At 49.5% G+C, this 13,994-nt stretch overlaps 1 protein-coding gene across 19 annotated transcripts in view; it reads left to right on the top strand.

Moving 5' to 3' along the window:
- Positions 1–13,994, top strand: part of AKR1E2 (aldo-keto reductase family 1 member E2) — a 48,265-nt gene that overhangs the window by 7,420 nt on the left and 26,851 nt on the right. For 8 of the 19 annotated variants that reach the window (XR_001747220.2, XR_930518.3, NR_073126.1 and 5 more), the window contains exons 3-8: positions 958–1,074; positions 3,283–3,417; positions 5,067–5,189; positions 7,337–7,434; positions 9,393–9,465; positions 10,029–10,112. Coding sequence is in view for 8 of the 19 variants with exons in the window: in XM_011519715.3 (XP_011518017.2) it covers positions 958–1,074; positions 3,283–3,417; positions 5,067–5,189; positions 7,337–7,434; positions 9,393–9,465; positions 10,029–10,112 (630 nt within the window). In the remaining 11 variants the exon portion in view is untranslated. Of the gene's footprint in view, positions 1–957; positions 1,075–3,282; positions 3,418–5,066; positions 5,190–7,336; positions 7,435–9,392; positions 9,466–10,028; positions 10,116–11,453; positions 13,505–13,994 lie in introns of those variants that run through there. The other 11 variants (NR_073127.2, NM_001271021.2, XR_007062003.1 and 8 more) reach the window with 9 other exon arrangements.

Genomic DNA, 13,994 nt, shown 5'->3' on the forward strand with positions numbered 1-13,994 from the left:
AGCAGCCTTGGTGTGTGCTTGGCCAAGCGGGGAGAATGTCTTCTGAATAGTCCAGGTAGGGATGTGAGCAACTGGAGATTTCTAAGGCTCACCCTGCAATTTGGAGCAAGTTGCTTCTGTGTGGATCGTAGTCAGCAGTGGAAATATGTTCATTATTTTGGAAATTTGGAAAAGTCATAGAAATGTAATTAGAAATAAATAAATCACACATATAAGCACCACATGGAGACAACTGTGATTAACAATGGAATACATTTACTTCCAGCATTCATTTTTTTATTTTTGTGAAGATACTGTGCTCGTTTGTTTTCATTTATTTGATTCCCCTTTCTTTTACTTTCTTTTACTTTACTTTCTTTTACTTTACTTTCATGTTTTTCCCTTGCTGTGATGGAGCCTTCAGGTTAGCTTATGTCACAGTCAATAAAAGTAAAATGAGGGGAAAAACACAAGTTTTTCTACATAATGAGAGTGTGGAAGGAGATAGCTAAAAGAAGTAAGGCAGTGTGAGCTAACTCACCTATAGGCTAACCCACATGGTTACAGTGCCTTAGGAACAGAGAACTCTTAATACGGAGTCTGTGTAAGTGAGAAACACAAGATAGAGATTCTTCTGATTTTTCGTCATATCTTTTCTGCCTGCAGGAATTTCATTTTCGTTTTTGTTTTTGGTCCCAATGAATCCAAATAACCATCAAATATCTCTTGGATTCCTGAGCTTCCCTTGAGGAGGAGTCAGGCAGAAGGATCCCAGCTTTGGAGCCTCTCCCTGCAGGTGTCCTGGAACTCTTCTGAGGATAATGTCCCTGTCCTCCCATCAGAACTTGCCGTGTTGTATTTGTGGTCATCTCATCTTGGCTATTTTGGGTTCAAGACAGTAGCTTTGTGGGGCTACAGAATGGGTGCCATGCTGGCTCTGGGTGGGCACGTGTGACGCTGGTCCCCTCTCCTTTGTAGCTGTGGTGCACCTGCCATAAGAAGTCCTTGGTGGAAACAGCATGCAGAAAGAGTCTCAAGGCCTTGAAGCTGAACTATTTGGACCTCTACCTCATACACTGGCCCATGGGTTTCAAGGTACCGTTCAGTAGGTAGTTCGTTCTGCAGTTTGCAGGACCTTCCTCCCCGTGCTCACACCCTGTCTTGCGGTGGGGAGAGCATGGACCAGCATTCAGGGCAGGGGTTCCCAGGCTGCATCTGCCACATGCTAGCTGCGGCATTTGGGCAGTCCTCTTGATATCTCTGGGCCTCAGTTAAGGAGAGGCTTGGCTTGACCTCTGAGGCCCCCACAGGTCTGTCTTTCAAGCCAGTCGCTTTTTTTCCAAGCCAAGAGAGCAGTAGATTTTTTTCCCTTAGGTTTTTAGGTGAAAGCAGTGATCAGATGAGGAAATACTGCTGCTCAGAGAAAGTTCCCAGTGAATTCCTAGGCCTTGTCTCTTCTTGCAGGTTCTGTTCTCTTTGGGGAGTAAATGCTGTTTTGCAATATGGGAGATATTTGCTTGTTCACCTGCAGCAGGGTCCAGTGGGTTGTGCTGGTAGTTGACTTTTCCACTTGGTTTTATTCTCTTAATTGCTTCACAGTGTGTCTGGAGCATGCATCTGAGCCATGGCTCTGTCACTAAGCTACCCCAGTCTGGCCGTGCAACTTCCCTACTCTAGGCAACCTGCTTCTGCCTCACACGGGTCCTGGCCAGGATGTCCCTGCATATTTGCCCTGGGCTGTGATGACAGCCTGCCTGGGCAAGGGCCTGATCACACAGTTGACACCTGTGAAATACAGAAGCCCTTGCAGGGATGTTCTTCCTACAATGGAATGGGTGACTGCTGCTCAGCAGTCTTCTACATACCAACCTGTGAGAAGGTCCCTTTATGTGTGCCACACTGTTGGTTACTGTTTTAGAGTAAAATAACAAAAAACACTTCATTCCTAGCACAGCTTTACTTAACTAAGGCTTTGTATCTAGTTTCCATAAACGATGTGGGCAGCTGTCCGTTAGTGACACTGACTAAGAGGGGAAGATACCCAGAGGGCAAAACCAGAGTGATGTCTGTGCCTTGAAATTCATTGCATGCAGAAAATCATAATTAAAACAATGGCTACAGCTGTATTACACTCATTGCCAGCCAGCATTGTTGTAATTATGTACCCAGAACTATGTTAGGTACTTTACACATATTAACTCATTTAATTCTCATGACAGTTCTACAAAGTTGACACTATTAACATCCCTCTTGGAGAGATGATGAAACTAAGATACAGAAAGTTTAAGGTTTAAGTTAGATTATTGGAGCCCAGAAGCATATGCTCAGGTCAGACATTTGTTACACTTTCCTTGCCCTCATCCTTTAGCAGATTCCTGTCTTTGGATTTCTGGGTCGTAGAAAAGGAAAAGGTCTCAGATCATCCAACAAATTACAGAAGAGAATAATGCAGCATCGTCAGCATGTCTTCTGGCCAGTAGGAACTGCTAGGCCTTGTGTGATGCTGGACAATTAGATCAGGGTCCGAGTATGAGTCCCGGGCTGCAATTTTGTGGAGGCTTGGATAAATGGCAACATGGGATGTGGCTTTAAAGTGAGACTGTTAGTTACTTCAGCTCATCATGGAAAATGCCTCTTTCATGTGTATCAGGCTGGAACATGTGACATTCTTCCACTGTTGTTTAGGAGTGTGATTAGGTGTCATTAAATAAACATGCCTATGCCATTCACCCTTAACATGCTACGTGGGAGTACATGAGGGAGGTAGCTGGATTGCACGTCAGTGCTTCTCTGAAAGATGACTTTAGGTTCTTGCCCTTTCAAGATGTATCTCTCTGCCCTCTACCTCCTGTGTACCTTTGTATTCTCACTTCCTTACCTGTCATCATGATGGGGATTCTAAGAAAGAAGACAAGACCCTAACAGTGGAGTTAGGAGAGGGTTGATTGGGCTCTATAAGACATGAAGAAAATGCACTCCTCACCCATTCTTTACCCGAAATTAGTAAACTATTTTCTGGAGGCAATGGGAGAGGACAACCTTGCATCAGTAAGGATACAGGGTCTTCCTTTCCCATCTTGTGAGAGATGAACAGTGAACATCAGGCTGGCAGAGGCTTTGCCAGCCATCCAGTCCACCAGCCATTCATCTTTTCTTAGAAAGGTGAAGACTGGGCCTGGTCACATGGCCAGGCTGGGGTTGCTTAGTGACAGGGCTGTGGCTTGGATGCAGGTCTCCTGACACATGGTTTTTTTTGTTTTGTTTTGTTTTGTTTTCACACATCTCAACTCTCCTTCTTCGCAGCCTCCTCATCCAGAATGGATCATGAGCTGCAGTGAACTTTCCTTCTGCCTCTCACATCCTCGAGTGCAGGACTTGCCTCTGGACGAGAGCAACATGGTTATTCCCAGTGACACGGACTTCCTGGACACGTGGGAGGTGAGCTGAGCCACACCACCAGGCAGCCTCATCCTGTGTGGGTCTCCACCCAGGATGCAGTGAGCCCTGAGCTGCTTGTGTTCAAAGACATCAAGGTTGTCTACCTGAGATGTGGGGTTTGTGGAGCAAAAAAGGAATCAATACCCGAAGAACTCAGAGACCTCAGTGACTTTCTTGTTACCTTTGGTTTGGTATGGTGCAGTTCTCTTGACACATTTGAGGGGTAGCTCATTATAGACCTCACTTTTTTTCTCAAATATTTATTTATTTTTTTATTAAAAACCATATTTATTTCAGAAAATACAGGAGAGTTCTTCTGCATTAAACTAACATTAAAAATTTTATTTTCCTGGCACCCAGCAGTAACCACTGTTAATGTTTTATAGTTCCTTTTTCTCTCAAGCATTTCAGAATGATAAAGTTGGCAGCATGGAAGCTCAGGCTGGGGAGGTGAGACCAGTGTCGGGGAAGGTTACCAAGTGTCAGCCCATTTCCAGGGTTCAGACCAAAAACAGCCCTTTACTGCAGGGGCTTGCAGTAAAGACTTGAGCAGGAAATTAAGGGGGTGGTGGATTTGAGAGGTTCCTGGAAGTTGACCCACAGGCTGGGGTGGGTCTCAGGCTTGGGCTCCAGCATGGCTGACCGAGCACGTGTGGTCTTACAGTCTTGCTAACCATCATGTGGGATGGGACATCACATTTGAGGCCCAAGAAGAAAGTAAGCTTAAGCTTAAGCTTGCTGAGGTTAGGACAGAGCTTGCTGGGTGAAGCTCTCCAGGGAGGAGGCCAGAGGGAACCCTCGGACAGGGAGGAGTCCCAGGCTAGGCTCCCCCCATCAATAGAAGACAAAGACTGACCTAAGGTATCTGAGATGTCAGGACCAGGGCCCATGGGCCTCAACTCTTTCTGTCACAATGTTTTAGGTCCTAAAAGATTTGGGTTAAACTCTAGGGTGCTCATGTAGCACCAGCGAGGTTCCGGTGATTGTTGCAGAGTTGAGGCAGTAACTAACTGCTGCGTGTTGGCCCATTGGTCACTCAGGACTTGCTGCTGACTACGGACCCTGGCACGAAGCTATGCTCTTCCTGAAGCTCAGGGGCAGCCTGGCTTGCTGGTCAGTGACCAGCTCAGAGCTTTAGGTTGCTCTGCCCTAAAGTGTCTTAAAATAGTAAGTGGAGAAGGTGGGATAGGAGAATGGTGATGTATCCGTGTGCTTAAGAAGGTCAGTGTCTCAGTGGAAAGAAAGGTGAACAAATAAAATCCGCAGCAGACATGCTTGCCAGACATCAGGAGGAATAGGAACAAGAAGAGCTCACATGTGTCGAGTACTGGACGCCAGCCTTAGCTGACACTTCCTGTGATTCCACATAACCCCTAAACATCCCCGTGGCACAGGCCATGTAGACCTGTCCTGAAGCTGAGAAAATTGGGGCCAAGTGAGGCCATGCAACTTGCCCAGCATCCTCTAGCCAGAAAAGATGGGACTGAAATCAGACCTTGAGTGCAGAAATGCTTTTGAAGCTTCAAGTAAAATATTGTAAAAATATTGGGTCCAACCAGTTTTAGAATACCATACAGAACTGCTGAGGGACGTAGATTGTCAGTGCAGTAGACAGAAGCTTCACACCCAGCAGAGTCGTTCTCTTATAGGCCATGGAGGACCTGGTGATCACCGGGCTGGTGAAGAACATCGGGGTGTCAAACTTCAACCATGAACAGCTTGAGAGGCTTTTGAATAAGCCTGGGTTGAGGTTCAAGCCACTAACCAACCAGGTAAGCCGATGGAAGCATCAGAGAGTTTAACCTGTGTGGCTGGTCCCCCAGCTGCCACCTCCACAGGGCTCTTCTGGAAATGGAAGAATGGGTGAAGCACAAAACAGGCCTGTTCTCCTCTGGCAGCACTCAGAATGGTGATTAAAGGCAGCAGCTAGGCAAGTGGCTTTCTTGAAGGTGCATCTGGGTAGATGGTACTGTTGGCAGGCAGGGCATGAGCTGGTGCTTGGCCCTCCATGTGCAGTGCAGGCAGGTCACCAGGTGTACTCAGAAGCAGTCAGGGTCCTGGCAGGTGCCTCACCCTTATCCAGGAACATGGGCCTCCCCTCTACCTCTTCCCAGCCTGCAGACTGCAGCAAGAAAGAGTGGATGACTAGATGGCTTCACGCGAGGCTCACAGGCTGCTGAAGGTGATGCAGGCACTTCGTTTTTTTAATGCAGAGAAAAGACTTGTGGGGAAATAACTATTGTATTTTCTAGACTAGCTTTGTATGTTCAAAGATCATTTATACAGTACTTAAGCTTTTTATTGAAGAGTAGAAGTGCACATGTGAAAATGGAACTGTATAAATTCTCATAAACTGAGCATAGCTCTGGGACTAGCATCCAGCTCAGTAAACAGCACGTCCAGTGCCCCTGTAACCCCTGCCGAGCACAGCATCATTCCCATTCCCAGCAGCTGGGATTCACGTCTGAACTTTACACAGGTAAAATAAAATAATAATGCAACATAAACCCCTCTGTGCTCGCCTCTTTCACACAGCACTGTGTTTCTGTACATGTGATTGTAGATAGTGCTCTCTTATTTCTTGTGGTATTCTGTTTTGTGAATTAACCACAATTGAGTTATCCATTCTGCTGTTAATGGGCACTTAGACAGTTTCCAGTTTGGGACTATTAAGAATAGAGCATCATGTTCTATTTTTTTGAATAAATATGCTTTTTAAAAAAGTTCTGTATGGAGTAGATGCAGAAAAGTGTGTGAATCATAAAAGGCATACATAGCTTGATGAATTTTTGCAAGTGAACAAACTCAAGTATTCAGCACCCAGAACAAGAAAAAAGCCCTCAGCCATTCAGTAGCTCCCCTGGGTCCTGTTGTAGCCACCACCATGAAGAGCAACCTGGCTTCTGACCCAGCTTCTCATGTAGTTCAGCTTTGCCTTGTATACAACCCTATATATATAAGTTTTGATATATGTTTATATGGATAGTAGCTTCCGTTTTGTGTCAGTATTTTTAGTTGTTCAGCACTTTAAATACCTGGGAATGATTATGGCATAGTCTGAGTAGACAAAGTGGGGTGGAGGGTCTGCTTTCTGTTAGGTTGATGGACACCAGGAACACAGGATGCGGAAGGCTCCAGAAGGGCTGGCCTCTCTTTTGGAGGCTTTCCAAACAGGCTGATCTTGATGAGCTTGGCATGTTCCTGAGAGCAAACGCACTATTCATAGTTCTCTGTAATTTACACTAAATAACTATTTATTTTAAATCTCCTTATAACCTGGAATTATATGTGAGAGTTTGGAGAATGTGCAAGAGACAGAGATCCTGCTCTCTAGCTTCTTAAAATTTTCATTCAAGTCACCTGTAGAATGTATTTGTCACATGTAGTTCCTCAATTTCATTCATTCATTCAGTGGATATATTTTTAGCACTTCCTACATGTCTAGATTGTTCTTAGTGTTGGTGAGACATCTATGAACAAAACAAATTCAAACAAAAATCTCTATCTTCATGAGGCTTAGATCTTGGTGACACAGAAAGACAGTGAGCAAATATGTAAAATCTATGAGATGTCAGATAGTGATAGATGCTGTAGAGGAAAATAAAGGCCGGGGGAGATGAGAGCTATGGTGTGTTAACAATCTTTATCTGAGTGCTCAGGGAAGGCCCTGCAGAGCAGGTGGTATTGGAACATTCAGATGATGTAGGTGTCCCCAAGGCCGTGGACTCAGAGACCATGACACCTGCTGGCCTCTTGGAGATTGCTCTGTCCAGACTCCTCACAACAGAAACACTTAGGCCTGGAGCTGGGCCCCATGGCTACTCGGTGACAGCCAAGACTTTGACGCAGGTCTTCTCTTGTAGAGCTTTTCTTGAACACTAGTGGTCTGAATTTTATGTAAGCTATGATTCTGTTATAGATTGAGTGCCACCCATATCTTACTCAGAAGAATCTGATCAGTTTTTGCCAATCCAGAGATGTGTCCGTGACTGCTTACCGTCCTCTTGGTGGCTCGTGGTAAGGATACCTCAGTGGTGTGTTAGTCAGAGTCCGACTGGGAAGTAGATGCCACCTTCTCATTTCCTTGGGATGACTGAGGGAGGGCTTAATGGAGGTTTTGACAGGGTGTGGAGGGATGGTACTATAGGGGGCTGTCCACACCTCTCAAGCCTGGGATTGAAGGCATGGTTTATTATTGGAAGCCAGGGAGTGGCTGTGAGTGGGCTGCCCTGGGAGGGTCAGGACCTCTTCAGGGACGTAAATCAGCCTGGAGTGACCCCTTTGCTGAGTTCCCCACCAGGGTGTCAGCCCCCTTCTGACCTCCTGACAAGGATGCTCCCCAGGCCTCTCCATGGTTGGATGAGGCAAAGCCTGCTGTCATCTTTACCCAGGCCCTCCTGCAGCTGTACTGTGCTCCCAAGATCAGCTAAGAGACCTCCAGCCATTCAGCCACCTAAGCCAGAAGCTTGGAAATCATCCCTTCCCACATCCCGAGTCCAATCCAGCACCAAAATCTATTGATTATTCTGCCAGGAGAAGTTGGACTTTGTTTCATGATTTCATTTCTGCCATCACTGTCACTGCCTTAGTTAAGTAGCATTCCCGAGGTCATTAGAGGAGCCCCTCAGCTCCCTCCCTGGCCCACTCCATTCCAATCCATTGCTCCCAGTGGGAGCTGAAAGGAGCTGTCTCTTTCCTTTCCTATGATCCTATCACTTTCCTGGGAAAAATTCTTCAGGTCTTGGTGTGGCCTGTGAGATGCAGCCAGCCTGACCTCTGCCTGCCTCTGGCCTCATTCCTTCCCATCCCTGTGAACATCCTGGGCTTCAGCCACATGAAGCTGCTGTGGGGTCCTTGGATAGAACATGTTTTCTCACCTCTGTGCCTTTGCAAATACTGTTCTCTTTACCCACAAATCTTTTTTTTTTAAATCTGGCAAACTCCAGTTTCTAATTTAAGGTTCAGTCCAGCATCATCTTCTCCAGGAAGCCCTCCTGACCCCTTATTTATGTTTCTTACACAGCCCTTGTCACACTGTCTTGTGATTTTCTTCTCAGTCCCTTCCACTAGTCAAAGCAACCAGAGTGCAGGTATCTTATTTATTCTTCTCTTCCCAGCTTCTAGCTCAGCACCTGGGAAACATTGGGAACCCCGAAAAGGCTGAAATTACTTGAGTTTTATCACCTGTGTGTTTTCCTTGTGAAGTGGGGCATGTGTGTTTGAACTTGGAACCAGCTGGAGAGTCTCTAGAAGGCTGGGTCCATTCCACAGCTGAGCTTTGGGGTAGCGGATCCTCTGATGGAGTGAGTCAGGGAGCTCTCAGACTGACTGGGGTGGGCAACTGGGCACTCTGTTTGGTTCCTTCAGGAGACCTCGAGGACGATACTAGCACAATGCCTGAAACAGGGTGATGGCTCAGTACACACTCGTTAAAAAACTGAATCCTCAGAGTTCTCAGGGCCCACCCGTGCCTGAGCAGAGGATGCACAGGGACTCTATGACCATCTTCAAAACCACTTTTAAAGGTTCCACGTGTTCACAATATTCACTTTTTAGTAGTATTTTGGGCGAACTTTTCTGAAAGTATCATCATCAACAAATATCGATTCGCTGTGCTGTGCCAGGGTGTACAGTAGAAGCTGAGAAGTCAGAGAGCCCTGAGAGTCGGGGGAGTCAAAGCTTGAGAGCCCACTGGCTGCATGCGCTGACATGGCCACCTGGTTTTTGAGGAGAAACACCAAATACACATGAAAAGTGATGTCGTGTAGCCTTGTTCACCAAAGTGTTAGCAGTGGTTATCTCCATACTGGAAATGTGGGGCGATGTGCTTTTCTGCATTTTAAAATTTCCTGTAGTCGGCATGTGTCATGATCAGAAAATAAATCTTTCATTTTGGACAAAGATTTCTTCTTTCTAAAGAAAGGGGCATCCATGTTGGATCTCCTGGCTCACTCCCCTGTACTGTGTCTCTCTAGTGAGGGGGTTGACCTGATAGACAACCCTGTGATCAAGAGGATTGCAAAGGAGCACGGCAAGTCTCCTGCTCAGGTAGGGAGGGAGGGCTGTTCTGAGCCAGGTGGGGTTCTCTGACCGCTCTACATCCTTGGGGAGTCCTGGGGCTTGGCAGGTCCCAGGAAGGGACTGGCTCACCCAGGTGAGTCCATGACTCATTAGAACCTCCCAGCGTCAAGCAGAATTTGGTCTGCAGCCGCATTTCTAGTCACTCAAGCCATGTACTCTTGCCTCCGAGCCTGTCTAGACTCAGAGGAGGAGTTTCCAGGCCTTCTCCCTCTGCCCCACCAACTGCATGCATGGTTAGTATGAGATGGTACAGAAAAGTTATTTATTCTAGTCTTCTTTGTTCTAATGTCCAGTGGGGGGCTGGGCGCATGTTAAGGAATTCTCATTAAGCAGATTCTCTGATCTCCTCCTTGGGCTGATGGCTGTCATTACCAACATATTGACAGAGCTGCTCAGTGAATGCCAGTAACAATAGCTGCTGTCATTGATTCTTGGACTCTTACTGCATGATAAAACTCACATGTTAGAAAATAACTTAGACTACATGGGATTTCCCTTTGTGTGATAGTAGACTTTTTGTTTCCTTGCAGATTTTGATCCGATTTCAAATCCAGAGGAATGTGATAGTGATCCCCGGATCTATCACCCCAAGTCACATTAAAGAGAATATCCAGGTAGGTGTATTCCTTCTTTTATTTGGCGGGTTTCAGATCATGTGTTAGATGGGAAGGGATGACTGCTGTAGCATACAGCCTCAGGGTTGCGGAGCTTGATGCAACAGGGGCTTCTCCCTCTGCACTGTGGGTGTTGGTGGTTGACCTTCCCTCAGCGATCAAAGGACCCAGGCTCCTTCCATCTTAGGGCCCTTTCTCCCCTAGGGTGTTGGTGTCTTCTCCATCCAGCCCAAGATTAGGAAGGAGGGAAGAGCATCTTGTTGGGATGATTTGTGTGGGCCAGGCTGGAGCATGTGCACCAGTCACATGGCTGCGCTCGCCCACAGGGGAGGCTGGATGTCTCCTAAGCGTGCACTCAGGAGAAAGGGGAGGCAGTTGGTGGACAGGTCACCACCTCTGTCGCATGGAGGCATGCCCACGTGGCCTGAGGGCACTGCTTTGAGTTGTGTGGGAAGATTCTGGTCCTGACTCCTGTCTAGTGACTTCTGAGAGGCAGGAGTGAAGACTGGAACAGGTGGAGCGTGTGCAGAACACAGAGAGGCAGCGGTCCTTTTCAGGGCAATCTTTTCACCTAAGCCAAGAACCACAGAAGTGTGTGAAGTGTGTGAAATCTATTTTTGGAGCTATGTGAAGGAACTCTGTGTGGCTTCAACCCTGACGACATAGTCTGTAACCCAGTCAGGGCCATGGACTTGGGATTCCCACAGTCTCACTCACGATTTAACTGCTGCATGACCTCTCTCAGCCTTTGTTTCTTCAGTAGAGCACCCTTCTGATAGGATCACTGAGGGTGAAATGTAATGATACAGTGAAGGGATAGCATAGTGCCTGGCGTATGGAAGTACCTGATGCTCTTAGCTGCCAGTCACCCTCAGTCACGGATGTCACCTGTGATGATCTCACAGGCAACGACAGGCATTGGTGGCAGCCCACACCCATTGATCATGTCAGCATAGGTGTGTGTGATCCTGGGGCCAGCTGCACAGCTGCATTTTCATAGACAGCATGTGCCCAGGAGTATGCTCCCTCTTGGTGTCTGAGCTGCCCATGAGCTCCACAAGGCACTGCTGCATCCTGAGGGCTCGGTTTGGTTGTGCCAAGCAAGCATCGCCATTGGGGTTTATTGACCCATCTGTAACAGTGCCTGTGCCCTCAGGCTTGCTGTGCATGCCAAGCTGGCTGCAGGTGGGCATAGCCCTGCCATTGGCAGGAGAGGCAGGCCACCCACGATGGGAGGACCAGGGGATGGGCAGGTTCCTCATGGTGTCTACAGCACTCTCCCTGCCGGGCCCTTGTCCAGCTCACCTGCTGCCCGCATGCCCTTCTCCTCTCCTTTCTCAGGCGTCCTGCTCTTTGAATGGCCCAGAGCAGCTCTGGGTGACCAGCCAACCTTAAGCCTGAAAGGTATGGATTTGGCTAAACTGTAAACTCAGTTCTCTCCAATGGCTGCTGACGGGCCTCTTGGAACGAGACTGCAGGTCTCTTGTAGTGGTTAGAATTGAGCACTGCTGACTGACCGGCATCTGCTCCACATGGTGTGTCCGGAATTGGTGGGTTCTTGGTCTCACTGACTTCAGGAATGAAGCCGCGGACCCTTGCGGTGAGTGTTACAGTTCTTAAAGGTGGTGTGTCCGGAGTTTGTTCCTTCTGATGTTCGGATGTGTTCGGAGTTTCTTCCTTCTGGTGGGTTCATGGTCTCACTGGCTTAGGAGTGAAGGTGAGGACCTTTGCGGTGAGTGTTACAGCTCTTAAGGTGGCGCGTCTGGAGTTGTTCGTTCCTCCCGGTGGGTTCGTGGTCTTATTGGCTTCAGGAGTGATGCTGCAGACCTTTGCGGTGAGTGTTACAGCTCATAAAGGCAGTGTGGACCCAAAGAGTGAGCAGCAGCAAGATCTATTGCAAAGACCGAAACAACAAAGCTTCCGCAGTGTGGAAGGGGACGGGAGTGGGTTGCCAGTGCTGGCTTGGGCAGCCTGCTTTTATTCTCTTATCTGGCCCCACCCACATCCTGCTGATTGGTCCATTTTACAGAGAGCCGAGTGGTCTGTTTTGACAGGGTGCTGATTGGTGCATTTACAATCCCTGAGCTAGACACAAAGGTTCTCCACATCCCCACTAGATTAGCTAGATACAGAGTGTCAACACAAAGGTTCTCCAAGTCCCCACCAGAGTAGCTAGATACAGAGTGTCGATTGGTGCATTCACAAACCGTGAGCTAGACACAGGGTGCTGATTGGTGTGTTTACAAACCGTGAGCTAGATACAGAGTGCCGATTGGTGTATTTACAATCCCCTAGCTAGACATAAAGGTTTTCCAAGTCCCCACCAGTCAGGAGCCTAGCTGGCTTCACCCAGTGGATCCCGCACGGGGCCGCAGGTGAAGGCGCCTGCCAGTCCCGGGCGGTGTGCCGGCACTCCTCAGCCCTTGGGTGGTCTATGGGACCTGGTGCCATGGAGCAGGGGGCGGTGCTCGTTGGGGAGGCTCCTGCTGCAGAGGAGCCCACGGAGGGTCAGGGGAGGCTCAGGCATGGCGGGCTGCAGGTCCCGAGCCCTGCCCTGCGGGGAGGCAGCTAAGGCCTGGCGAGAAATGGAGCGCAGCGCCGGTGGGCCAGCACTGCTGGGGGACCTAGCACGCCCTCCTCAGCCGCTGGCCCGAGTGCTAAGCCCCTCATTGCCCAGGGCCAGCAGGGCTTGCCAGCCGCTCCGAGTGCCGGGCCCACCAAGCCCACACCCACCCGGAATTCGTGCTGGCCTGCAAGCACCACGCGCAGCCCCGATTCCCACCGGCGTCTCTCCCTCCACACCTCCCCGCAAGCTGAGGGAGCCGACTCCGGCCTCGGCCAGCCCAGGAAGGGGCTCCCACAGTGCAACGGTGGGCTGAAGGGCTCCTCAAGTGCCGCCAAAGTGGGAGCCCAGGCAGAGGAGGCCCGGAGAGCTAGTGAGGGTTGTGAGGGCTGCCAGCATGCTGTCACCCCTCAATGGGGGCTGCCAGCATGCTGTCACCCCTCAATGGGGGCCTGGCCTAAGGTGCCCTCTGTGCCCTGCAGGGCAGCTAGGATTGCCCCTGGGAGGACATAGGCTGGGGAAGATTATCTGACCCTCCCATGGGAGGAGCCACCGAGTGAGCAGCTCAGCAGGTGGCAGGGGGCCACATCGCCCCAGTTCTGCCCTTCTGCCGTCGTGGCTCTCAATGCCCGGGATCCCCATGGCCTAGCAAAAGTGAATGTGACACGGGGACCTTGGGCCCAGCTGAGATGCCCCCATTCCTCTGTTAGGTCTGCTACACACTGAGGGGAAATGCCATCCTCAGGCAGTGAGACAGGACCAGGCTGACGTGAGACCTGAGGGCCAAAGCCGAAGTGATCTGATGGCTGAGGACAGACAGCAGCGGCGGGTTAGGAGGGGCCGGAGGAAGTGCTTATGCTGTCAGGAGGAGGTGGGAGCCAGGTCCACAAGACTCACCAGGGAGGAGAAAGGCATCCAGTGCAGGGGGCTGCCCCGGCCCGCCCCCTGTGGCCCCAGTGCCGCTCAGAACTGCTGCTGCAAGGCTGCCTACCCTTTATAAGGAGTCTTCTAGAACTGCTTGCTGTTCCCCTTAAACCCAAGAATCCGCCTACCCCGGCCCCAGCACTCCCCACTACCTCCAGATGACACGCTGAGGCTACTTTCTCCTGCCCTCAGGAGGGGAAGGCTCTTGTGGGGAAGAGCCTGGGGTGCTCCAGGTCCTTGCATTGGAATCACTCAGTGCACCCCTCCTCCCGCCGCAAGACAGCCACTCTGCCAGGCCGGGGTGGATGCTGATGCTGTGGCCATGGGTCCTGTTCCTCAGTGTGTGGGGACAACAAAAGGGGAGGGAAGGGCTGAGAAGAATACTATTTTCAAGG

This window comes from Homo sapiens, chromosome 10 (assembly GCF_000001405.40).
Source record: "Homo sapiens chromosome 10, GRCh38.p14 Primary Assembly".
Taxonomy (NCBI): domain Eukaryota; kingdom Metazoa; phylum Chordata; class Mammalia; order Primates; family Hominidae; genus Homo; species Homo sapiens.